Below are 26910 nucleotides of genomic sequence, written 5' to 3'. Positions count from 1 at the left end.
TGTTTAAAAATTGGACTTGAGCTTGAACTTGCTTTTATTTTCGTTTTGACACTCACCAGCTTCGTGCTGTCCCTCCAGCTTTTCTCTGTGGTTTGTTTGTGCCTGGTGCTTCTGTTTGAGCTGCTTGACCTTGCCTTATGGTTACACTTTCCACCTCCTTTCCTGCTGTGTCTAACAGGCTCGTTTTCTTCCAGACATTCAAGGTTGAGTGGGTGCAGGTGGGCAGGCAGGTGATTCTTTCTTGAATGGTTCATTGGCCATTCACATTGGTGTGTTGCTTGATTTTAATCACAATTGATTAACCTTCACTTGTTTCGGTAAATCTGGCCAGATCTATCTGGGACTAGAACTCTGGAACTATGTTAACCACATGTGGCTATTTACATTGACCTGAGTTAAAATTAAATAAAATTTAAAATTCAGTTCCTCGGTCACACTAGTCACATTTCAAGTACTTCTGGCCACATGTGGCTAGTAGCTACTCCACTGGACAGCATAGATTTAGAATCTTTCCACCATTGTAGAATGATTTGGGCTGAGAATATTGAATAAATTAACAAATTCTAGGGCAAAACTGAGCAGTATAAAAATAAATTTTGATAAAGGACTCTTATTTTGACTATTTATTATTCCTTGTAATATTAGCAGAATTCCCAAGGATAAAATTACATTGTAGAACTTATTATATAATCATTTGTTTAAGTATCTATGACTTCTAACAAATCTATGTGCTCTTCGAGCATAAGGAACATTTTATCTTTCCGTCTCTGGACTTGGAGTTGTGTCTGGCATAGAAAGGGCTCAAAAACATTTAGAGAATAAATACATAAGTGCTTAGAAACCTCATTTAATTTTCTTTATTGCAAACTATAGCTATTAGTCTCACATATTATCTTCTGAGATGTACCAATTTTTTTTTACCTATTCTTACTAGTCTTAATGTATTTTTTGAGAATATGAAAGAAAGGAAACATTCAAGAATTACATACAAATCTGTTTAAATGAAAATATGAGAAATCTATGGTGAAGACCTAGAAGGAAAAGCCCTCTATGGGGCCCATGTGGGATCAGCAGAGTCATGACTCTGGGGGCGATGTGACACTCATTTGCCTTTCTTGTGGAGTTGGCGGGAGACAGCATGGGGCATCATGACTTGATGGCCACAGGTGTCCTATCCTTCCCAAGGAAGGCGGTACAGACACGGAAAGCCGGCTTCCTGTCCCCTTCCTGTCCCTGGAGGGGCCCTCTGCCAGAACCCTGGGATGCTTATCTGGGCTCTGCAGATCTTTGGAATGAGGTCATCCAGGAAGTTGAATCCCTTTGATGCAATTATCTCTGCATCCTTGGCCTTTTGTTCTCATGGAGAGTAACCGGTGACCCTTGTGCTTCTTACGTGGTTAGAACAGCTGTTGTGAGGTGGGTGCCAGATGCACATCCCTGGGTGGCTGGACACATCCTTCCCAGCTGTCAGGATGGGTCCAATGGATGTAGGTGCCTCCCTGCTCCCGCCATAACACTGTTGTGAACCTGCAAAGGAGTTGAGAGGACAAAGGAGAACGTGATCGGTGGTGGATGATCTTACACACATACGTATACACACATGTTCATCATGACAAAGCCCAGCAGTTTTGTTCTTTAATTCATCTCAGTTGACAACCAGTTATACCAGTTCAAGGACTCATTCTTTCCTGAATGAGTAGTGGTGGGTAGCTTTTTGGAATAGCACAGTCCTAAATCTGTCTATCCTTTCACATCTTCCAATATACGCTTCCTAATTGTATAGGTATACTTTGCAATCTTTCCTGCCCAATAGAAGTTCTCCTATGTGGCAGGCCCAAATATCCACAATTTGGGTCCCCTTTCCTACATAGATCTCCTCTCCTTAAAACTGGTTTGGCCTAACCTGTCTTTGTGCTTTTGTGAGCAGGAAAATCCTCTCTCCCTGGGGTTACAATGAGTCATTATGTGGAGGGGGTGGAAGGGCTTGAAATAGTAAGTTGGGGGAAGGTGTCCTGTGGCTGTTACAATTTGGGTCCCCTTTCCTACATAGATCTCCTCTCCTTGAAACTGGTTTGGCCTAACCTGTCTTTGTGCTTTTGTGAGCAGGAAAATCCTCTCTCCCTGGGGTTACAATGAGTCATTATGTGGAGGGGGTGGAAGGGCTTGAAATAGTAAGTTGGGGGAAGGTGTCCTGTGGCTGTTACAGAAGTCTGGTCAAATTACCAGGTTCTCTGTCTTTTGGGGTGCAATGAATGGGAGCTTGCGAAGTTTGCTTTTTGATTTTGGGTTTTGTTTTGTTTTTTTTTGGTGAAATAACTCATTTAGGTTCTGTTAGATTCTGGGATTCTCTTTCTTCTCATTCTTCCCCCTGTGTTTTTCTATTTTTCATTTTCCAGTTGATTACTGAAATGTCCTATGAGCAGTCAGGCCGCATTTGCTGGCAGGAACGGCAGAGCTGAAGGGCTGAGTATTTTTCTACCTGAGGTTGAGCTCATGAAGCAACTGGCAGTTCTTTGCTGTCAGGGAGTTATGAGAGCATTTCTCTAACAAGAGACGAGGCTGCTATTGTACATGTGTGTGCTTTAATATTGCTTACCTATGTAATCCGTAGTGGATCATGGTACACATTTGCTGTTTTTTTGGCTACCTAGTGTCCGTTCTCCTTTCTTCTGGGTAGTAATTTCTCAATTTTCATTCAGGTATTGTACTAGTCAAGGTTTAGGAAGGAAACAGACGGCAAATCACATAGTTTAATGAAGGGGCTCATTACAGAGATATGGGTAGAATGAAGACTGTCCATTTGTTCAGGCTGCTATCACAAAATACCATAAACTGGGTAGCCTGTAAACAATGGAATTTATTTTTCCTTAGAGACAGAGTCTCACTCTGTTGCCCAGGCTGGAGTCAGTGGTATGATCTCAGCTGGCTGCAACCTCTGCCTCCAGGGCTCAAGCGATCCTCCCACCTTAGCCTCCCAAGTAGCTGGGACTACAAGTGTATGCCACTACAGCTGGCTAACCTTTTATTTATTTATTTATTTATTTATTTATTTATTTATTTATTTATTTATTAGGTATAGGGTTTCTCTATGTTGCCAAGGCTGGTCTCAAACTCATGGCCTCAAATGATCTTCCCACCTCAGCCTCCCAAAGCACTGGGATTAGAAGCGTGAGCCATCACATCCAGCCCAGAAATTTATTTCTCACAGTTCTAGAGGCTTGGAAGTTCAAAATCAAGGCACAAGCAGATTTGGTGTCTGGCGAGGATCTACTTCTCATAGACAGCCATCTTCTCACTCTAACCTTACATGGCAGAAGGGGTGAGGGGTCTCTCTAGAGTCTCTTTTATAAGGACACCAATCCCACTGATGAAGGTTCTACCCATGATCTAATCATCTCCCAAAGGCTCCCTCTCCTAATACCATCGCCTTGGAGGTGAAGATTTCAATATATGAATTTTGGAGAGACGCAAACATTCAGACCATAGCAAGGACCAGCAAGGAATGCTGGAGCAGCTAGGGACTGGCAAGAGGAGGGAGCTGTTACCACCTCTGGGCCAGATGGGATAAGGGAGGGAATAATGTTACCAGAGCCTGGCAAGAGCTGGAGCTGGAAGGGTGGCCCAAGTGGAGTCGCCCTTCTAGAGGAACACAGCCACTGTCAGAACCACAGCAAGGCAAGGAGCCAGCTGGGGAAATAGTTGTCCTGATCCAGTTTTCTCTCCACCCTCTGATCTTCTGTTGGTGTTCCCAAGATCAAATTCAGCTATAAGTCAGAAATCAAAAAGCTGGAGTGATGCATTCTGAAGAGTTAGCTTCTTAGGGCAGAGAGTGGAGCAAAGGTGAAGGTCAAACAGAGCACAGGTATCATGCCTCTTCTACCAGCCTACATGCTCTGGGAGGAGACCTCACTCCATAAGCATAGTCCTAGGTTCTGATTAGCTGATCTTCAATCAACATACTTCATCGCCAGGCCACAGCGCTTGGTTTAGAACACACAACCCAATTCAGACCAATGAATCAAGAGAAACTCTTTCCAGAGACTTTTGGAAAAAAAGATGTTTCACTTCTGAGAGAGCTATTGGGAGAGAGATTTTTTTTTCCCACTTCCTGCTGGACATAATTGAGGAAACAAGCAGTCCCTAAAGCTGCTTCCAGCCATTTTGCAAACATGAAGAGAGTGAGCCTTAGGGTGAAGCAGGCACCATAGAAGAGAAGAGGAGGAGAAGCTGTATCTTTGGTGTTGTCACTGGGTCACCAAAGCTTCCTCTATCACTGTAGTTTTTCGTTACTGCGCCAATACTGTCTTTGTATTATGTAGGTCAATTTGAGTTCAAGTTTCTGTTACTTGTAGCCAAAAACATCTTAAAGCCACTAGGATTGAGCCTGGAACCAGGAAACATTTTCCCATTCATTGCACCCCAAAAGACAGAGAACCATAGGATGAGACCAGCTATCGTTTGATAGGAATAATTGCAATGTCAGTGACAGGGAGACTAAAGCAGGGTCAAGTCCAAAATGCCTGATGGCAGAGAGACGCTGAGAATCATAGAGCCAAGGGTTCCATGTCTGTTGTAGACCAGATTGGGAAAAATGCAGGTCATGAGCAAATGAGGAAGACCCAAGTCATGGTGAGAAATGTGTCTGTCTGACGGGCTTAGAAGGCCTGAGGCAGGTTGGACAGTCAGTTTTGAATGAGGTAATCACATTCTTTAAGCAGCAGGAAACAGCTTTCTTCACATTCCTTGAGAAAAACGTGGCTGTTGAGGTAAAACCATGGGGCTGTGTTCTCAGCATTAGCCATCATGACTCTAACGAAAACAAGCCTTTGGACTCAGCCCACGGTTCCAGTCAGAACCAAGCCAGCTGCAGGGTGGAGCGAAAAAGATGTACTCACTTTGCTGCAAGCATCTGAATAATGTTGAAACCTGGGAGTCCAACAGTCCAAGGTCCAATGATACAAGATATTCTTTGACAACTTCTTTCTTTGTTAGGGATTTTAATAATTCCTTGCCTCAGTCGTAAGATTAATGATGCACTTGTGGTAGTCCTGGTGGTAACAAGGAGGAGAATAGTTGTTCTATTAGTTCCATTCATTGAGCACTTCATATATGTCTGGTACAATGCAAGCAGTTTATGTGCCCTAATTAATTTCATCTTTACAAAATCCTGTGAGAACATTATTATTTTCCAATAGGCAGGTGAGAGCAGTGAGAAGTCACACAGGTTGAATTTCAAGCAATAAGAAGGGTTTTAGTTATTTGGTCAACCCACTGTATTTTTAAAACTTTCAAATACAATATTCACAAAAAATAACGTAAACATATATGTCTGTATTATAAAGAATGCATGCCCACATATCCACAACCAGTTTAAGAAGTGCTACACACCTGGCACTGTTGAAGATGCTAGTGGGTCAGTTCCCCAATCTAGTCCCTCATGCCCTCTGCCCTCAAGGGTAAATCCTCAAGGTAATTATCTCCATTACCTCAAGGTAAATCTTTGGCTGAATTTTATTTTTATCATTTTTTTTTGTAAGGTTTTACTACAGATATAGATGCCCAACCTGTGTCAGGCCTGTTAAGCCCATTGGACACACTACTTATAATCTTAAACAATATGACCATTTAGATTTATAAGTTTTTGAAGTTTATACAGTCTTTTCCCCCATCCATGGTTTGTTTTCAGGAGTTTCAACGACTGGCAGTAAACTGTGGTCTAAAAATATTAAATAGAAATTTAAAAAAATAAACAATTCATAAGTTTTTAATTGTGCACTGTTCTGAGCAGTGTGATGAAATCTTGTGTGGGCCTACTCTGTCTGGCTCAGGATGTAAATCATCCTTTGTACGGCATATCCACACTGTATACATCACCTGGCCATGAGTCACTTGGTAGTCCTCTTGGTGATCAGGTCAAAAAGCTATAGTATATATAGGGTTTAGTAATACCCACTCTTCAGACATCTACTGGGGGGAACCTATTACCTGTGGATAATAGAAGATTACTGTAAATTGTATCATTCTGTATGTATTCTTCTGAAAAAAATGCAACATGATGTGAGGTTCATTCATGTTGATACAAGTAGCTCTAGTTTATTCATTTTTCAGTGAAATGTGATCTCCTTTGATGAGTGTACCACGCTTTATTTTTGTTGTTGTAGTTGTTGGACATTTGGATAGAGTTCTTGCTCTTACAAACTTTGTCTCTTTGTATACTCCTGTATTTGTCCTTTAGTGCCCTCAGAAAAGAGTTTCTCCAGGGTATAAACCTATGAGTGGAGGGCCAGGGTTGTAGGGTATATGCACCTTCAGTGCCCTGGATAATGATGAGTTGTTTACCAAAGTGATTGTGTCCATTTATATTCCCACAAGCAGTGTATAAGGTTTTCTGTTACACCGCAGTCTTGCTTACCCTTCATACTGTCAGATCAAAAAAGTTTTGGGGTCAATTCAGTAGGTTCAGACTGATATTTCCCTGATTTGTTAATGAGCTTGAACACCTTATATATGTTCACCATTTAAGATTTCTTTGTGGTGAAAGGCCTATTTACACCTTTAATTGAGGTAAATTACATTAAAAGATTTTCTAGCATTAAACTCACCTTAGTCATATGTATTTTATTTTATTTTATTTATTTTTCATATATATTTTTTGAGACGGACTCTCGCTCTGTCACCAGGCTGGAGTGCCGTGGCTCACTGCAACCTCCCCCTCCCGAGTTTAAGTGATTCTCCTGCCTCAGCCTCCCAAGTAGCTGGGACTATAGGTGCGTGCTTTATTTTTTAAATATTGGTAGATTTCATTTGCTAATATTGTATTTAGAATTATTGCATTTGTGTTCATGAGTGAAATTATTATATAATTTCTCTTGTCTCCGTTTGGTACATTAGGTTTATGACGTTAGTTGGACCGTTCATCTTTCCTCCTTTCTCTTTCTCTCCCTCATCTTCCTCTCCCTCTTCTTGTCCTTTTTCTTCTCTTAAGAGCTTGTATGATGCATGAATGTTTGTAAGAGCTTACTGATGCTTTCTTTGTGAGAAGACAAAATCTACAACCATTGATCGAATTCATTTTAAGGTAATGAGAACAGTCAAGTTTTCTGTCCTCAAATCAGTTTTGGAAAGTTATACTTTTGGGGAACTTGTCTATTTTATCAAAGCGTATTGGCATAACACTCGTAATTGATAATGGGTTGTGCTCCCTAGACACTCTCTCAGCACCCCCAGGACAGAAGCACCCATTCCTTCTGATTCCGGGAGTACTGGTGGCTGACAGCTCTCTCAGGATTGCCCTTGGCTGCCGTGCTAAGTTCAGGCTCACTTCTCAGGGCAGATTCCATCCTATGTCTGGCCAGTGCATGAGTTTAAAGACCCAGTTCTTGCCTCAATTCTGGACAATTCTGTCAGGCCAGCCCATCCCTACAGAAGCTCCTTTGTAGGACTGGCTGAGATCAGTGTTGCCACTGTTCCCCAGTTCAGCATACAAACCTGAAAGTGTCAGAATTTGCCTCCCTTAGAGCCAGATTTGCAGTAACATGCATGGCTTTCTTTCAAATCATTTGTTGTGTTCTTTGATTTCTACTATTTCTCTACTCGTACCTTTCCTCATTACCTTGGCAGTCTTGCTGGAGGTTTGCTAATTTTACCAGTTTCTTTTCAAAGATTGAACATTAGTTGGATCGAGCCTCTCAAAGGTACATTTATTACTCACTTCATTCCTTTTGTAAACATTTCCTGCCTTCTACTTGCTTACATTAATTTCCATATCTACCTCTAATCTCTTAGGTTGGATGTTTAGTTCATCTGTTTTTCAGTCTTTCTTCTATGCTAACATGAGCCTTTTACGGCTTTAGATTTTCTTTTAATAATTGTATCTCCAACTGTAGCTCCATGATGCTGTCAAAGTGAATATGTCCACGCCTAAACTAGGGACCTCCACCAATTCATCTACCTATTCTTTTCCACCCTTTCCCATCTCAGAGAAACCAGCTGTATTCCAGTTAGCCAGGCCATGATCCTGAAGTCACCTTTGATCATCTCCTTCTCTTGAAACCCACTTCCAATCAGTCAGGATGTCCTTTTGGCCCTTCCAGTTAGGCCAGGTTGTCATCTCCATGACATCAAGTTGTGTCAGTCATAAATCATTGCCTCTTGCTTGGCCTATTGTCCATAACTGCTGTTCTGTTTCCTCTCCTGCTCCCCTGCAGTCGGTTTTCCACACAGCACTCAGAGTGAGCCTTCTACACGTTAACTCATCCTGCAAGGTCTTTTCGTCTCCTTAGAATAAATTCCAGGTCACTGCATGGCCCACTGGGTCCTCTGTGGCCTGGGCCTCTGCTGTCTCTGTGACCCTCTCTTCTCCCTCTTCTTTGGTTCACTCTGCTCCAGCTACCTCTCTATTCCTCAGGCAGGCCTGGTGTAGGGGTGTTTGTACTTGACGTCCCCTCAACACCTGCATGGATCACTTTCTCACTTCCTTCAAGTCTTACTCAGATGTTACATTATTATCCAGCAGTCCTTCCTTCACCAAACCGTGTAAAATTTTACACCTGCCCAGCCAGTCACTTATTAATAGGCTTACCCTTATTAATGTTTCTTCTTAGCATGCATCATTGCCTGACGTATCCTTTTTGTTTGCTTCTTGTCTGTCTTCCACTGTTGGAATATAAGCTCTTTCAAGGCAGGGCTTACTTGCTGTGTTCACTGCTCTATGTCCAATGTCTAGCTCACAGACAGGCACTAATAGGTGTTCAGTAAATACTTGATGAATGAATGCATGTGTATTGGCTTGAAGTTCCTAATTCTCCAGGGGACTACTTCCCCTTTTACCCAAAGCCACTGCCCCATGTGACAGTTTTGTTCTCGTTTTTGCTGTTATTTACCTTTTCCCTGAAGCTGTAGGTAGTTTTTTGGAAGATCTAACTTAACTTATGAAGTTGGGGTGGAGAAAGGGAGTGTCTGCCTTTTGATTTTCTACCCTCAAGGGCCCAAGGCCTCATCTTTTGTCTTCCTGCTGAGTGAATACACTCAAGTGTTCCCAGGGCTACCTTGCCTTTAACATTTTAAAAAAATACTGAATTCATGCTTTTACTTCATTTTTTTTTGTCCTTTGAGGATTTACTTTACTTTCTTGTGATGTTAACTATACATTTCAATCAATTATTATTTTGTTTTGTATTTTATGGAAGAATTTCAGATGATCTGGTTTGCCAAACTACTGAATATTAAACTATTCAAACTTTTCATTTTTTTATGCAGTGCCCAGGAGACAAAAGGATTGACTTAACCAAAGTTTTACTGTAAATGAAATTGCTAAGACCAGACCCTAGGATTTCTGACCTCCAGGGCAGTATTTGATGGCCACATTGGGCTGGTGGCTGCCCCACTTCCTTTAGAGAGTCTAATGGTACAGATGTTCCTAGTCTAATAAGTATCTCTGGGCAGAAAGGACAAAAAAGAAGAAAAACAACTGTAGCAACATAACAGTCTCCAGGGTTCCAAGGAAACTTTTGTAGCCACTAAGGGCTGTAATAGCCATTTGTGAATATGTAATGGGAAGTAGTTCTGGGAATTGTAGCTGATTTCAGCAGGATAGCGTTTGTCAGAATCTGCCCCTTTGCTATTTTTCTAGAAGTCAAATCTGAAAGGCCTATTTTCTTAAGGATTTCTGCTGGGTCTAAGGCAGGAGGCCATTTCCTTCCAATTCCTGCAGTTCATTTAGGCTGCACCTTGGGTGGTTGTCAGTTGGAATATAAACATTGGTACCTTGATAATTATAGAAGATTTTTTAAAAGTTATTATTGGCTCTGGTGAAATAGTGTAACAGGAAACAGTCTGTACTTTAAGCAAAATGGCTGCCAGTTACAGTGTTCAGAGCACTATGCAAATCAGTTGAAAACTCAGAAGTTCAGTCAATCAGTTTTGCTTCATATGATGCCAACTGACTGTTTTTTTAATGAACCTTATTTGTCTCATTGCGTTGACTGACTTTGGGCCTGAATTGACTTAATTGCAGGGTTGCTTTTGATATATGGTAGCAATTGCTCTGTTGGGCTATGATCAAATGCAACAAATATAGGCCATGGATAATACTGGACGGCCCCAGTTGGTGGATGCCTTGCTAACTTTGTCTTGCAAAATAACTTACTGCTGCCAATCTAGCAGTTAGTTGTTTTAAAAAGTATATGAACAGTACAGAGTACAGCATTCTGTTCCATGTGTTAAATTTTAATGTATCATACCAAATCATTGTGACACTTCACCCAGGGCAGATTTTTGATAGGTAAGGTTATGATGACCTTAGAGACACAGGCAATGAGCTATTCTGGAATACCCACCTTTGGTCTTTTGCTTTGAAGAGTTCCATTTTAAAAAGAGCATTAAATTATGTGTTATGACTGTACAAATATTATTATAATGAATATTTGAAAATCTCACCTACCCAGAGGTGGTGACACTTAATACTTTAGTCTAGTTCCTTCTAGCATTTTTTCTACATATTTTTTATTAATTGAAATGATCCTGTATCCTAATGTGATTTTTTTTTTTTCACTTAACAATTTGTACTCTGGTGATTTTTTTTCTTTACTGAATATGATAACTCAAGTATTTTCCCATATTATTATCAACTCTTCACAGACATTTTTAATGGTATTCTTTGGTATGAATGTTGAAGAGTTTACTTAAACGTTCTCTGATAATGAGACATGTAGTTCCCTATTATTTATTATTATAAATACTCCTCAATTGAACATCTCTGTACACTGTTTTTTCCACATCCTAAATTATTTTCTTAAGCTAGTGGAATTATTTAGCCAAAGGTGGTAGATATTTTTCAGGTATCTGGGACAAATGGCCAAATTTTATTTCTAAAATGATGTCCTCCTTTATGTTTAATCCAACAGCATACAAGGAGATTTGTCCCACCATGCCCAGATGAGTATGAAATAATGTTCTTAAAATATATTTCCTATTTTAATTGGTGACAATTATAGCTCTTTAAATTTACATTTTCTGATTATTCTTAGGGTTGAATATATTTTCCTTTGTTTATTCGTCATTTTTCAAAGGGGTGGTGAGCTAGTTTGTTCATGCCCTTTGTTATTTACATATTGAGATCTTACTATGTTTTTATTATAGATTTCTATGAAGTCTTTACAAACTAAGTAAATTAACTTTTTGCCTTACGTATGGCAAGTGTTATTGTCAATTTATTCTTTGTGTTTTATTTTATTTTGTGTTACAATGTGTAAAATCGCTATCTATCATCCCTTTGTTATTTTTCACATTAAATGTAAGTTTGGGAACCAGAGATCGATAGAAGGTAGTCAAGGTATTAGTACTTATTTTTAACAATGTTATTTAGGTATAACTTGCATACCATAAATTCACTTATTTTATTATTTTTCCTTTTTTAGAGATAGGGTCTCACTCTGCTGCCCAGGCTGGAGTGCAGTTGCATGATCACGGCTCACTGCAGCCTTGACCTCCTGGGCTCAAGTGATCTTCCCACCTCAGTCTCCTATTTAGCTGGAACTACAGGTGCGTGCCACCACACCCAGCTAATTTTTGTATTTTTTGTACAGACAGGGTCTCCCTGTGTTTCCCAGGCTGGTCTTGAACTCCTGGACTCAAGCGATTTGCCCGCCTTGGCCTCTCAAAGTGCTGGGATTACAAGTGTGAAACACTGTGCCTGGCCTATTTTAAATAGACAATTCAATGATTTTTAACAAACTTGCACAGTTGTGTAAACTCCACCACAATCTAACTTTAAAACATTTTTATCACCCCCTTCCAAAAAAACCTCATGCTCAATTGAGTAACTACTCTGCATTCCTAACCCCAGCCCTAGGCAAACGTCAACTTTCTGTCTCTATGGATTTCCCTATTCCTGGACGTTTCATATAAATGGAATCACACAATATAGGGTCTTTTTTGACTGAGTCCTTTTACTTAGTACAATATTTTTAAGGTTTAGACATGTTGCAGCATGTATCAGTATGCCATTTCTTTTTATTGCTGAATAATTGTCCACTGACGGATGTGCCATGTTTACTCACTCGTCCATTGATGGGCATTTGGGTTGTTTGCACCTTTTGATATTATGAATAAGACTACTGTGAACATTCATGTGCAAGATTTTGAGTGGACATATATTTTTATTTCTCTTAAGTAGATACCTAGGAGTGGAATTGCTGGGACATATGGTAAATTTATGCTTAACGTTTTAAGAAACAGCCAATTATCTTCCAAAGTGGCTGCCCCATTTTACACTCATCAGCAATATTCCAGTTTCTCTATATCCTTGCCAGCACTTGTCATTGTCATTGTAATTTTTCACACTGAGCTCCTTCACTTGTCTCTGTTTTGTTTTGTTCTATAATGTAAGGCAAGGATTTAAAATAATTTCCCCTTATCCCATTTGTTTGTGATGTCTTTTTATTGTATCAAATTCATATTTAAATGAAGTTTTTTATGATCTCTTTTCTCCAAATATCTCCGTTCACACCCTTCACCGTAAGGCTTTGTCTTTTTTCTTCTCATCTGAACAAAAATAAGCATTTCCTAGAGATTTTGTCATATGAAATGCTAGGATAAACTAATGTGACTGATTTAAACTGTCAGTGACTGCTTCAAATCTTTTTGAAATAGTGGGATAAAAATCCCCTTTAAAAAATTACGCAAATATTTAGGAGGCCGAGGCAGGTGGATCACCTGAGGTCAGGAGTTCGAGACCAACCTGGCCAACATGGTGAAACCCTGTCTCTACTAAAAATACAAAAAATTAGCCGAGCCTAGGGGTGGGTGCCTGTAATCCCGGCTACTCGGGAGGCTGAGGCAGGAGAATCACTTGAACCTAGGAGGCGGAAGTTGCAATGAGCCAAGATTGTGCCATTGCACTCCAGCCTGGGCAATAAGAGTGAAACTCTATCTCAAAAAAAAAAAAAAAATTACACAAATAAGCAAGTTTATTTTCCAAGGACTCACCTTGCATATTCCAGTGACGTTGTTGCTCAAGCTATTTGGGGAACTATTCTTTTAGAATTGCCCTGCAGAGCTCGTAGCATGTTATTTTGGCTCTCCTTTGCGGTTACAATATTTGTAGCAGGTGGATTTTACTTTTAGAAAGAGCACAAAGTCATGGGCAACTAAGCATACTCAGTAAGGTGGCTGATTGAATAGAACCAGAAATATGGACTCCACAGTAACAGCCACACACACACATGCACAGGCCCAGGCACATACATGTGCACACATGCACACACACTAGGTTGCTTTTTCTGCACATTTCCTAGATTAAACCAGAAAACAACTCTAAAATTAGAGCCATCAATATTTTTAAGTGGTAACACAGTTGAATAAGAGAATAATCTTCAATGGTAACATCATTAAAGATAAAAACATTCAAATGAGAAATACAAGTTCTACCATATTTGTTGAAAAGTGCATCCAGCTATTTGATAGTGACGTTTAATTTCAAAGTTAATTGTGATAATTCTAAATTCAAAGTTTTATCCATACTGCAGATTTTCCCATGGGAGGTTCTAGTAACAAAGTGGGGTATACATTGAAAGAAGAGGTCCTCACCTCGGTTTTAAGCTCCTTACTGAGTACCTAATGAGTTTCTGGTCTCATTGGCACCATGTGTTAATCTGAATGAATAGCAAGGATGTCTATGGTGGGTAGCCGCCTTCTGAATGCTAATGATTCATGTTTCTTAAAAAAAGTTTAGAAAAATCTTTTTACTTTTGATTTACTGGGCTTCCCCTCATTATATCTGTATTCAAAAGGGGTGTTGGATTGACAACACCAAAGCTCTCCTTGAGGCCAAAAAGTAAATATACAGAACTGAGCTAGAACATCCATGGAACTGCTTAGCTGTGCCTGCAGGCAACAGGGAGAAACCCCAAAGGGCCTAACTCTGCTGCCTTGCAGACAGTATAGATGAAGCAGCTTCCACTGTGAACTCCTTGACATGCTGTGTGGCTTCTGACACCTCCCCACGCCTCAGTTTCCTCAACTGCCAAATGGGTACAGAAGGACAAATATTTGTCTCACAAGACATAGCAAAGTTGAAACACAATGTTGCTCAGCACAATGTGTGGCACATATTAAGCATTCAAATAATGATGACATTGCCATCACCATCATCACCCATCATTATCATTGCCTTTATAGCCCTTTCAGCACCCGCCACAGTGCCTATTTCATAAAAGCACAATAAATGTTCTCTCATATTACTGTCATCCTTGTATCCTTTTCATCACTTAGCACAGAGCTTGGCATGCAGCCAGTGTTCAATAGATTAATATGAAGCAAGGGCAGGAATCCACTTTTAACAATGTGCTTGCCAGACATAACTGATGTTGGATATTCAGAAAAGTGACATTTAACATTATTTTTCTAATTAATTTAAACTTTCTTATTCTTCTAGTATGTTCTCTAAGAGAGAGGCAGTAGAGTGTGGTTACAAGTACACATGTGAGAGCCAGACTACCTGGGTGCAAATCCTGGTTCTGCTTCTTGTTTGCTGTGGGGTCTGGGATAATTTCCCTATTCTCTCTGTGCCTCAGTTTCTTCATCTGTAAGATAATAGTGCCTTCTTCACAGGGTTGTTTGAAGGATTAGAGAGTTTATACATGTAAGTGATTAGAATATGCCAGGCAAATACCAAGTGCCATGTAAGTATGTGCCCAGGAAGAGAAGAACTTTAAAAAGGGTTGAGGCAGAGCCCTCCTTCTCAGAGAAGCTCTCAAGTCCTCAAGGATCCAGGTATGCCTACAAGCCATGCAAGAGCATGAAGGAAAAATCAATCTTATGTGAAGAACTGAGAGCAGAAGCCATGATATGCCGGGAAAGTTTTAATAACCAGCTCTCTGGAAGAACAAAGCCGGATTTGTAGCTTCACCAATTGCTCTGGTGTAATTACTCCTGCCATGGCTGACTTCAAGCCACCCCTGTGACTTCCCTGAATGTGAAGCTGAGAAAAGATGCATATGATTGGTTCTTACAGGTTGATATGAGCAGGCTGTGGGATACTATTGGGTGGAAACTTCAACAATCCAAGGGAGAACACCATGGATTGAGGATATGGGCTGAGTGCTTTATCATCCCCCAGGCTGGAGGACACCATCTGGTTCTAGGGACAAGATAGTAGGCCAGAGGGAGAAGCCACTTTTACACACTTTCTTTTACTGTGCCTACTGTTTAAAAGATCCTTTTGTTACCCAATTCACAAGTTCAGCCAGTGAGTCACCATCATTGATCAGTCAATCCTTGCCCCTGAGCTTGCCAGTCAACAGAACAATTATGAAGACAATTTAAGTTTGTTGTGTTTGAGAGAGAGATAGTAATGGGGTGGGACTCTCATTGCCCCACAATGTAGTCTTCTTTAGATATCTCAGGGAGAAAGACCACACCGGAATTCTAGGCCCGAGGAAAGACCACGCCAGAATTCTAGGCCTAGCTTTGCCCTGACTCCCTGGTGACTTTAGAAAAGCGTGTATACTTGCAATTTCTCATGTTTTCCATAATAAAATGGACGCAAATTAATATAGTGATAGTCACTACTTCTATACATCAACTCTTTCTTGCTGTCTGCCTTCCAGGTACATGGTAGGATCAACTTCCTGACCTTGTGACAGATCCTGCCAGTAACATGAGAGGAAATGAGAACGAGGCTTTGGAGCACAGCATTGGATTGCTCATGCAGAACACCACCCAGTGCCCTTTCCCTCTGCCACAATGAACAGCCATGCTGCAGGTGACGGCTGCTCTGTCAACATGGATCCGGCAGGGCAGATGAGTGGATCCCCCAGCGGACTCATGAGAGAGCAAACAAAAAGTCCATATGTGTTGTGCTAATCCACTGAGATTGTGTTGGTTGTTACGGAGCCTAACCTAGCCTATCCCGACACGAGGATCAGACATGATAATCAAATGTGTTTATAAAGTGTTGGATGGAAATATTCTGACAACATTAAAAGACTCTACCCAAGGAAGGAATTCGCATCTCTTAATTATCAAGTAGATGCAACAATTTGAGAGAACTCATTCTTTGAAAGTTACTGGCAATTTTATTTCTTTGAAATGGAAACTGAACTCTGAGGAACGCATCTGATAGCAAGATTTCACAGTGGGTCACATTTGCTTTTCACTTTCCTGGCACGATGCTGGAGAGCAGCCAGGTACAAGCCCTTGGGGTTGTTTCCAGAAGTGTTAGGAGGGGAGATATTTTTCATTCCTGTTTAGAAAAGGAAGAGCTACCATATAGCAACAGCATCACTTTCCCAGCAACAGTAAGAATGGTCATTTCTTGACTGCCTATTTACCAGGACTTCAAATGCAAAGAAATTTAACTCTGTAACACCTCACCCCAATATTCTGAGAGTTAAAGCGTGTCAAATGTCATATGGAATGAAAGCATGGGAGCCAAAATTCAAACCAAGTCTGTCATAGACTCTTAGTTAGGTTTTCCCGGGAGGACACCCTGAGATAATGATTCAAGTGGAGGCAGTTTCTTGAGCAGTGGGAAGTGACTCAGGAAAGAAAGGCAGCCAGGAAAGGATGCATTGTTATATCAGCTGCTTGTATCAGCTACATACAACTGTGCCGAAGTCCCAAGTGAAACAGTATAAAACTCATATCCCAGAATTATTCCACTCAAGTGCTGAGGCAGCTGGGGTATTTTTATGCCAACATCTGAGAGTCAGTGGTGGAGGGCTGCCCCAGGGTCACAGTGGCTTCCTGGCTTGGGGAGCAAAAGCCCTCAGGCTCAGAGCTGTAGACTCCGGTGACTGGAGGTCATCTCTTATACATGAATGTCTAAGGGATATAGGTGGGGTTATGACAGCATTTGTTCCAGGTTCCAAAGCCTGTGGTGTCTCCGCCACTCCACTCTGCTCAACTCCCTCGGTCCCTAGTCATGGCAGGCTCCTGGGCACATTTCCCCACCCACCCCTCTAGGGACAGGAAAACTCCCTGTGGCTCCAGAGGGTAATTCTGGAGACCATCTGGTGCCCAGTGAGTAGAGCAGCGAGTTCTTGGATGAGACCACTTTAAACAGAGATGATGGTGTCCATCCACCTCACAGGGTGGATGGGAGAATTAGATGAGGACATGTGGCATTCTTAGAATAGTGACTAGCACATAGCATACAGACAACACACATTAGCTGAGATGGCATTGAGGACAACATGTTGAGTAGGAGAGGATGAAGGAAAGAAGTCTGAAGTGGGGAGGTAGGGAACACCAGGAAGAGAAGGGGAGAGAGGGACAGAGGAGCAGTTGCAGGACACAGAGATAAAAAGGCTTCTGACACAATGCGTCCTTCACACTGGCCAATAGCGCCAACAAACCATTGTTCTCTTCCATTTTTTCAAGGCTTGGGAGTGGTATACCTCCTTATCAACTAGACCAGTCTGAGATAGCTTCCTGCAACATCCATAGCTCTCGTTCCTGCTCAAGGGTGCGTTCCTGATGTTGCCACCACTGAAATGAGTGAGACGAACAAGCTCTGGCTGTAATTCTGTGCTTCAGAACAGCCTAGGTGGGCTTTCTACATGGCAACTTCCATTAACCTTCAGGCCCAGAATTTAATGTTTGCTTATATGATCTTGCCTGTGTAGAGAGTCCTGAGAGTGTGTGTGTGTATGCATGCATGTATATTTAACTTGCAGGATGTATATCATTTCAGATATTCTGGAAAACAATTGCTCTTGATTAGGACAAATGGCAGTCACCATTTCCTACTTTCACTGCAAGTTACAGGAGAAAAGCAATGGCTTAAATCACAGCACAGGTGTTTCGGATTAGGCATAAGGAGAAATTTCTCTTTCAGATGGATTTGATAAACCCTGGAATGGATTTCCCAGGGAAATTTTGAAGCCTCTTTCTCTGGAAGCTTTTAAAAATAGAATAGATGCTCATCTGCCTGAGACAGTTGAAGTGTAATCCTATCCGAAGTATGGCATGATGGATTGGCTGCTGGGTGGGAATGGAAGAGAAAGGAGATTTCCTTTCTACTGAGATCTGCTGATGAGTATTTCATTTCACTTGCCAGGGCATTTCAACATTACCAGTCTTATCTGATTTTAAAAGTCACTACTGTTCATTATTTAAAATTCAAAGAAATACGGAAAAATATTAAAAAGTAAAAATTAAACAAAATCCTGTAATCCACTGGAAACAAATAATGACTTAGTTTTGGTATACATATTTTTTCCAGACTTTTTATGCAGAAATGCAGATAGAGTATCCAAAAATTATATCATACATTGCATGCTTTTGTAATCTAGCTTTCATACTTCATGTATTGTACGCTCATTTTCATGTCAACAAATGCTGCTTTACATTATTTTGGGTGGCTAAAGAATATCCCACAGTATGCATGTAGCATAATTTATTTAGCCAGTTTTCTATGGTGGAGGTTTGGCTTGCTTTTCCTGTAAATCCTTGTACATATGTCCTTGCGGAGTTGTCCAATTATTTCTTAAGAATAAGTTTCTGGAAGTGAAGTTGTTGTGTTATGGAACAGCTTTTTAAAATTTTGTTACCTATTGCTAGATTCCCCTGCAGAAAGGTCCTATCAGTTTATATTGCCATCAGTAACGTATGAGAGAGTCTGTTTCCCACTTTCCAAATAACACTGGCTACTGTCTATGTTCACTGGCTACTCTCAATATTCTAACCTACATTTCTTTAAATTCTGGGAAGGCTGAGGTTTTGAAGGGTTTCAATCATTTGTATTTCTTTTATTGCTTGTCTTTTGTGTCCTTTACCCATTTTTTTATTGAGGACTTTGACATATATGTGTTGATACACACACACACACACTTTCCAAGCTGTCTTTTAAATGTACTGATTTTGGATATGTTGTACAGAAGTTTGCTATACAGAAGGTTATTCTTAGGGCTACATTAGTTATAACTAGATTACAAGGACCTTTTAGAATCTTGACCATAACTGTATCACCTGCTTCTGGGCCAGATGAGGTCTAAGGTAAAGTTATCACACAGTACAGTGCAGAGTATGGGTAGCTAGGAAGGATATACAGACACGGCCAGTGCATATTCTATGGAATCAGGCCGGGGTTCCCTGTCATGAACAAAGTGAGAGCCACTGCATTTGACAATAGGTCATGAACCAAGTCTTCAACACATGGAGCACATGGTGGTGGGTACAGGCAGAGATGACAGACAGAGAAAATGTAGAGAAAATGGTCCTTCCAGGCTAGTTTCTTGGTTCCCCTCCATCTAAAGGTAGCGGTGTCTTCCCATTCTTGGTACCCACTCCTCGCCTCCCCTTCTCCACACAAAGTGCATATCCTAAGAGGCTTTACTAACCAGGGCTATTGTTGGTTCTTTCTTTTCCCTTTCTCCAGGCTAAGGAGAAGAGGGACATGAACATTTTTTATACTTGATGACTTAAGGCAAGACCTAACTGCCCATAGGCAAAGCAGACAGAAGGGAAGGACCGGGGCATTCTTCCAGGGATGGGGATGCTTCTAGGTGGAAGGACTCTGAGGCAGGTGTAGGGGAAACAGAACTTTGCATCATGCTTTGGTTACAAAGATGGATAGAACCAGGACTGCATCCCAGTTTTCCTGACCAGTTTCTTTCTGCCCATCTCTCATCATCTTAGCTGTTTAGATTGCAAGTGTTGTGAGTTTTTAAAAATAGCAATTATCTTCTTCATTTCCCTCAAAGTAAAATCCAGATTCCTTATCTTAGTCCATTTTGTGTTGCTATAGAAGAGTACCTGAGACTGAACATTTTTAAAGAAAAGAGGTTTACTTAGCTCGTGGTTCTACAGGCTAAGAAGTTTAAGGGCATGCCCCTAGCTTCCGGTGAGAGCTTTTATGCAGCATCACGACGTGGTAGGAGATGGTGAAAGGAGAAGTGGATGCATGCGAAGAGAGGACGATGGCATCCTGGCTTTATAACAACCCAATATCATGGGAATAAATCCATTTCCCTGGAAACTAATACAGTCTTATGAGAGCAAGAACTCACCACAGCAAGAACAGCACCAAGACCTTCATGAAGGATCCACCCCTGTAGCCCAAATACTTCCCGTTAGGCCTCACCTCCCAACACGACATTGGGAATCAAGTTTTCAACATGAGTTTTGGTGGAGACAAACTGTATCTAAACCACAGCAGGCTCCATGCAGTGTTACCTCGACTACCTCTTCTATCTCATTTCTCATCCCTTGCCCTGGATCATTCTATTCCAGTCTTTCCTTGAAGGTGCCAAGTGCATGCTTACCCCTAGGCTTTTGCACTTGCTGTACCTCTTGCTATCTAGGAAGTGTGTTTTAGAAAACAGGTTCCAGATGTCAGGGTGGGTTCCTGAGCTGGACCCCAGGACCAAAACAGGGGTGACTGACAGGAAGGAGTGAACCCAACCTCTAGCAGGGAATGCGGCCAAGCAGCTCACCAAGGCAGGGAGTTGGCACAAGGGCCCAGGTGAGGATTCAGTAACTGGGACTGGATTTCCTTAACTCCTCCAAGTGCACCTGTCCACTGCAAGGCTAGCCCCACCCACAAGTGGCATCCTTTCTCTGTCCACAGCCTCACTTCTGAGCTCATGCCCCGAGCCCCACTGTGCCAGCCCCCACACCTGCTCCCTTGCTCCTTGTTCCTCCATCTCCCTACTCTGACCCCTTCCTTACCAATATTCACATCCCTCTTCATCCCATACTAACTCTTGCTGACCAGAGAAAATCTCTGTTCCCTTCTAGGTGTGTGGTGGGCTGTGAAGCACCCAAACTCAGCCAAGTTCCCCAGGCAAGCACATCCACTGGGTACACCCCCGCTCTGGGAGCTGGCTGGGCAGGAACACAGTGTGGGAACTTGGCTTCAGAAACAAGACTGAAAGTTAGTTGCTAGAGCTGGACTGCAAGATCAGAGCTGGGCTGGGAACAAGTGTGAGCTGATACTGATTTCGAGAGGGCTGGACAAAATATTGGAAATCCCTGCATCTCCTGGATGGGATTATCCCAGAGCACAGGACAGTGTTGAGTGGAAGGTGGTGGTCAGATGGCTCCGGGTCTGGATGGAGGAATGAAGTGGGCAGGGATGCTAGTCATGATATTTACCAGTCCAGCACAGGCACCGACCAATCCAAATCAATGAAACTTGCCCTGGAGCAGGTCTTAGGGGCCCCCTATTGAACCAGGTGTACTCCTTTATACTATAGGGAAGATTGAGGGTAGCCAGAGCAGTTGCACAGTGCAGTACCTGGGGGTGCAGCTATTGACTATGTGGCCTAGAAGCATTTCCCCGTGTGAACATCAGGTTCTGCTGTTCTGGTGTCAGCCTGGGCCGAGGAAAGAGAGTCAGACAGGGAGAGCCACAGCAGCTTCTCCCGTGGTATGCAGGGCTTCTCAGAATGGAGCAGATTTTTCCTAAATGTAAATGACCAATTTCTTTGCAAAGAATATATGGAAAACCAACAAAAAGATCACAACATTGCATAAAGCAAAGCCTTCAAGTATCAAATTTCTGTCTAAAATGTTTTAAGAGAATTAAAGATCTTAGGATGAGGTCTTATTTTCTCAATAAAGTCATAATTAGCAAAACCCAAAGAAACATCTGAGCAAGCACATCTGGGAACACCAAGCCTCACCGTAAACATCCACAGGACTGTGGAAGAAGGCCCGAGGGTGTGATGACGTCCAGCACTGACTGGCTCACAGGGCCACTGTGACTTGCCTGGCCCCATGGCCAGGACTGACCGTGAAGCATTTCATGGCTCGTCCGTCCCCAGCAGTGAAATTTGCTGCAGGTATGCTAGGCATTATTGGTTGCTGCTGTTTTAGAAGATCCACCAGGCTCAATTTTTCTGGGGTGCTATTCAGCCAGCCTGTGGACATGCTAAGGGATTTCCCCTTAGGAGCCCACTGGTCAGCCAAGGAAGGATTTTTCAGAGAGCTGCAAATTCCCAAGCCCTAAAACTCCCTGGATATGACATGTTCATTTAGGAGATTAGTTTAGGAAAGGAAGATAAGGAGAGAGAGGCTTATGCAGTACCCCATCTGCCAGGCTACCAGAGGCTTCTCCTCCCCCACTTGAAGAAGAAGAGCGCAACATCGGAGAAAGAGAGAGATGGAGTTTACACACACTAGTTTGGTTATTTTGGCTAAAAAACACACCTCTTCATTCATAGTTGATGGGTCTAATTCCTGGCCCATACCAAATTTTTCTATTTATTTAGTCTAGGATAGGACTGAGAGATTGTTTTAAAAGATCCCTAGGTAATTACTGGCTTTGCTCCCCGTAATATTTGATTGTCCTCTGTGTGCCAGGCACTGTGCTGCGCCTAAGGATGCAGAGTGATGACATGATCGGCACTGATGGGATGGAGCAGTCAATTCAATCAAAACGCCCAAGTTGATAGTGTGTGACGGCTCTTTGAATACGATATTAATTACTTGAAAAGGAGAAAATTCAACTAGTCAACCAGGTGTTATATCTACACAAAGCCAGATAATCAGATTGATCTGCTTTTCCTGTATCGACAAATTAATGTTTTTGTACCATGTAGAGATAGTCTGCTCCTTTGGAAAGGTTGTTTCAATATAAATTCCTGGGTCCCCACCCCAGACCTCCTGAATCAGAATCTCTCTCTGCCAGATTTTTCCTCAGCAGTGGTTCTTAACCTTGGCTGCACCTTAGAATTACCCAGGGGGCTGTTAAACAGCCCAGGCTGCACCCTAGACCCACTAAATTAGAATCTCTCAAGAGGAATCTGGGCATCAATAATTTAAAAAGCTCCCCAGGAAGTTCCAATGCGTAGCCAGGGTTAAGAATCACTGTGTTAAGTTGCATGGGAGGAGGCAGGCATTGGGATCTTTGAAAAGCTTCCCATAGGTTTTATTGTGCAGAAATTACAGAGCATGCCCTCGGAGCAGTTACCTATATGAAGGACATGTGAGCATTCCTTCTGAGTTCTTGGAGCTGTTTGCTGCGGTAGTGATTCATGGTGAGGTTTTGCCCAGCAAATAATTTTTAAGGAGAGGCTAGCAGCCCTGTGCCCATTTATGTTTCTAACAACAGTCAGGAAATCCTCACTGACCAAATCCTTAGTTTCTAATATTTGTCTTGGTTGCATGTCATGATTGACAAGGATGAGTGTTAAATGCTCTCCTCCTCCCAGAGTATCCCCAAGTGCATCCTGACTCTCTTCTCTCTGCCTCTCTCTCTCTCTCTCCCCTTGCCCTTTCTCTCTCCCTCTCCCCCTCTCCTCTACATTCTCTGCCAGAGCTCAGGCCCTCCTGGGCTTCACCCTCAGGGCGTTGTGAGAAACTGCTATTCAAACCAATCAATCCTTATTCACATAAAACTAAGGGAATCATTGTCTACTTTCCCCAGAAAGCACTTGGGTTTTAGGAGGAGTGTTTGGAGAGAATTGTTTTAAACAGACAAGGCAAATCTTACCTCCAGCCCAGTCTTGGTCTAGAATCCATCTTTATATAGCACTACAGGCAACCACAAAAAAACAGAGCACAGTTCTGTGAGTTGAAGCTTTCTTGTTATCACTGCCTTAGAACAAAGCAGGATCTCCCCTGTGATCCTAGTCATTGTGGCAAGTCCAAAGGAAGACAACTGGGGGCTGGTAGGACTTCCAGTGGCCTCAAGCTATATCCACTGGTGGAGATGACCCTGCTCTACCATTAGAAAGCAAAGTCAAAAAGCACAGGATTAACAATGGCAACGCTGAAAATGAGAAAACTATTCTTGTTTATTTTTCCTACTTCCATCCCTGCGTTTGGTAGAGTTCCATCTTTCCTAGATAGACCAGACCTTCTGAGGTTAGTGCCCTGGTCATGCTCTGGAAGGGAATATTCTGAGTCTGTGACATTTCTAAGTCAAAAAGGACCTAACACGCTCCTCCTCTACTGTAATTATTTTATTCAAGTCAACCTAATTTGACATTGTTTTGTTTTCTTCTTCTTCTGTTTTTTTTTTTTTTTTTTTTGTATTTTTTTTGTTGTTTTTTTTTAGCTATGTGATTTAAACCTTTCCTGGTCATGGATCTCTTTGAGGAATTTGGTGAAATCTCTGGCCCAGTATCCCCCGAATCTACCAAAATATTTAAAAATCTGCTTTCAATTTCAAAAATTCATGACCCTCCATACCCATCCATGGACCTAAATTAAGAATCCATATATAACAACAGCCCACAGAGAAAAGCAGAGATTCCCACTAGGCGCCTATACCCCCAGGCTATTCTATTGGTGTTCATTGTCCAGAACACTCCTTGTACTTGCCCACCTCCAATTAAAGAGCACTACAGACAACCCCTAAATAGAACAGACTTTGCACAGGAAATGAAACTTTTTAATCTCCACTATCTTAGCATGGAGGAAAAGGACCCATGGTAGACCAGGCATGGTGACAAGTCCGGTGGGTTTGGAATGGCCTTTTCTGCCCCCGCCATCACCCATGATCTCTTCTTCTTAAAATGCTACCCATACAAGTCCAGCTGAAATGTCACAACTTCCCAGAGAGTCATCCCAGCCCTTCTCTGCACTCCCTGCCTTTCCTTCCTCTTGGAATGGGATGGTCCCCATTATCTTGCCCTCTTTATTGTAAGATTAATACATTATGGGGAGAGATTGTCTTACCTTTGTATCCTCTGTAGTACAAACTTTATTGCCTGGACTCTAGCAGAAGTTGTTTGTTGTCGTTTAATTAATAAACTTAGAAATGAAATGTGATGTGGCCACTAACTGCCTCCATTCTCTTCTAATTCATGAGATATAAGGAAGCATTCCCCATTCAGCAGGAGCTCTGCCCAACAGTCGAATTGTAGAGTTTGCATAGCTCAGCTGACTGCACTTGGAAATTACTGGCCAGAAACAGAAAAGAAGCTTGGAATTCTAACTAATTTATAGGTGGATCATAGATGAGTGTGTCTGGTCACCTTGGCCACCAAAGTGACCATCTAGGAAGATTATCACTTAATCATGTTTAGGCTGGTCAATTCAGTGGGTGGGTATTGCAGGTCCTGTTGGTGTACCCGGCATACTAATGAGTGAACTGACATAGAACTGGACCACAAATATCGAGTCATTCGCCTAAGAAGGCCTCGTTTCTGGAAGGGACTGGATCCTTTGGAAATAGCCACAAGGATTTAGTAGCTGATTTTAAATGAAAGAATACTTAATACATACCATAACTTGCCTGGTAACTTCTTCTAACTTGTCTTGTCCACAACCCCTTGCTCCTTAACCCCATCTGTATATAACCCATCAGTTGAACAAGCAGTACTCATGGGACAGAACCAGAAAGACAATTTTATTTTTGTTTCCTGCTGTCCCTTTAAAACCTGTTCAATGGGGTTGCTTTCCCCCGTTCCTCCATGAAAATTCAGAACAATACCACAACTTTTCTGGTCACTCTCAGGTAGAAATCTTGCGGTGACTTTGTCACAAGTAGTCTCAATTCAGACATGAATTTCTTCGGCTCCCTCAGTGACCCAGGAAGGAGCAAAGATTGGTGGTTTGTTTCTTTCTGTGTCTGAAACTAGTGTTTTCCTAAGATGGCATCACGTTCTCTAGACCTTTCTCTTGAAGTTGCTTTCCTAGGTTTTCCTGGGCCTTTCTGAATAGTCTCCCTGATTTTGATAGTACCTCTCCTTTGGCTGGCCTCTCCTGATCCCCTTCATTGTCTCCCCGCCTGTTATGACACCCCCTAACCTCTTCCCCTGGGACTCCACCACCTCAGGCAGAATGCACAAGCCAACATTCCTACTAGTTTTCACTTCAGACCCCCAGGACTCATAGGCCTTGAATGGGCTGATAGGAAGTTACTTCCTAGATGTAGTTGTTTACCCTGCTGCCACAGACCATGTAGGCTTTTTCAGATGTGACCAGATACCAGTCCTCTGGGTCCCTGTAGAGAACACATGTTAATCTTTCTGAGTAGGGATTATCATATGGCAGCTCCATTTGTAGTTTTTTTGAGGAAACTCCATACTCTTCTTCATTGTGGCTGTACTAGTTTACATTCCTACCAACAGTATATAAGAGTTCCTTTCTCTGCATCCTTACCAGCATTTGTTATTTTTTGTCTTTTTGATAATAGCCATCCTAACTGGGGCAAGATGATACTTCATAATGATTTTGATTTCCATTTCCCTGATGACTAGTAATGTTCAGTATTTCTTCATAGATTTCTTGGCCATATGTATATCTTCTTTTAAGAAATGTCTCTTCAGATTATTTGCCCATTTTAAAACCAGATTGTTTATTTTGTTTGCTGCTGAGATGTTTGAGTTTCTCATATATTCTGAATATTAATCCCTTACCAAATAAATAGTTTGCAAATATTTTCTCCCTTTCTGTAATTATCTTTTCACTCTGTTGATTGTTTCCTTTGCTGTGCAGAAAAATTTTAGTTTGATATAATCCTTCCTAATTATAATCCTTATTAATAATCATATATAGTTCATATATAATAGTTATAATCCTTACTAATAATAAATAATTAAAATAATAATGCTTATTTTTGCTTTTGTTGCCTATGCCTTTGAGGCCTTATTAAAGAAAATCTTTTCCCAGACCAATGTTCTGAAGCATTTCCCCTGTGTTTTCTCCTAATTGTTTTATAGTTTCAGATCTTACATTTAGGTCTTCGATCCATTTTGAGTTGGTTTTTGTATAGGGTAAGAGGGGGGTCTAGTTTCATTATTCTGCATACGGATATCCAGTTTTCGCAACACCATTTATGAAGAGACTGTCCTTTCCCCAGCAAGTATTCCTGGCACTTTTGTCAAAAATCAGTTGCTGTAGATATGCGGATTAATTTCTGGGCTCTCTATCCTGTTCCGTTGGTCTATGTGTCTGTTTTTATTGCCAGTACCATGATATTTTGGTTACTACAGCTTTGAAGCCTGGTAGTAT

The 26910-nt window shown here is 41.6% G+C and overlaps 1 protein-coding gene across 4 annotated transcripts in view, besides 3 other annotated features; it reads left to right on the top strand.

Annotated features, from left to right (window-relative positions):
- Positions 1 to 16001, top strand: part of STEAP1B (STEAP family member 1B) — an 80745-nt gene extending 64744 nt beyond the window's left edge. For all 4 annotated transcript variants that reach the window (NM_207342.3, XM_047420109.1, NM_001382447.1 and 1 more), the window contains one exon: positions 15609 to 16001. In NM_207342.3, coding sequence (NP_997225.1) covers positions 15609 to 15641 — 33 coding nt within the window. In that variant the 3' untranslated portion in view covers positions 15642 to 16001. The remainder of the gene's footprint in view (positions 1 to 15608) is intronic.
- Positions 1121 to 1415: an enhancer, noted in NCBI's record as "tiled region #12314; HepG2 Activating DNase unmatched - State 5:Enh, and K562 Activating DNase matched - State 5:Enh". NCBI's record gives its function as "activates a minimal TATA promoter and a strong SV40 promoter by Sharpr-MPRA in HepG2 and K562 cells {active_cell/tissue: HepG2 | K562}" and the evidence as "EXISTENCE:reporter gene assay evidence [ECO:0000049][PMID:27701403]".
- Positions 1203 to 1347: an enhancer, noted in NCBI's record as "145 bp enhancer 55/56 fragment used in the MPRA reporter construct; PK_construct_3182". NCBI's record gives its function as "activates an SV40 promoter by MPRA in K562 cells {active_cell/tissue: K562}" and the evidence as "EXISTENCE:reporter gene assay evidence [ECO:0000049][PMID:23512712]".
- Positions 1266 to 1283: a transcriptional cis regulatory region, noted in NCBI's record as "GATA motif; MPRA enhancer 55/56 activity is reduced when this motif is scrambled". NCBI's record gives its function as "necessary for full MPRA enhancer 55/56 activity {active_cell/tissue: K562}" and the evidence as "EXISTENCE:site-directed mutagenesis evidence [ECO:0005528][PMID:23512712]".
- Positions 16002 to 26910: the final 10909 nt, after the last annotated feature.

The sequence above is a fragment of the Homo sapiens genome, chromosome 7, assembly GCF_000001405.40.
Source record: "Homo sapiens chromosome 7, GRCh38.p14 Primary Assembly".
NCBI lineage: Eukaryota > Metazoa > Chordata > Mammalia > Primates > Hominidae > Homo > Homo sapiens.
This window is presented reverse-complemented; position numbering and strand designations above follow the sequence as displayed.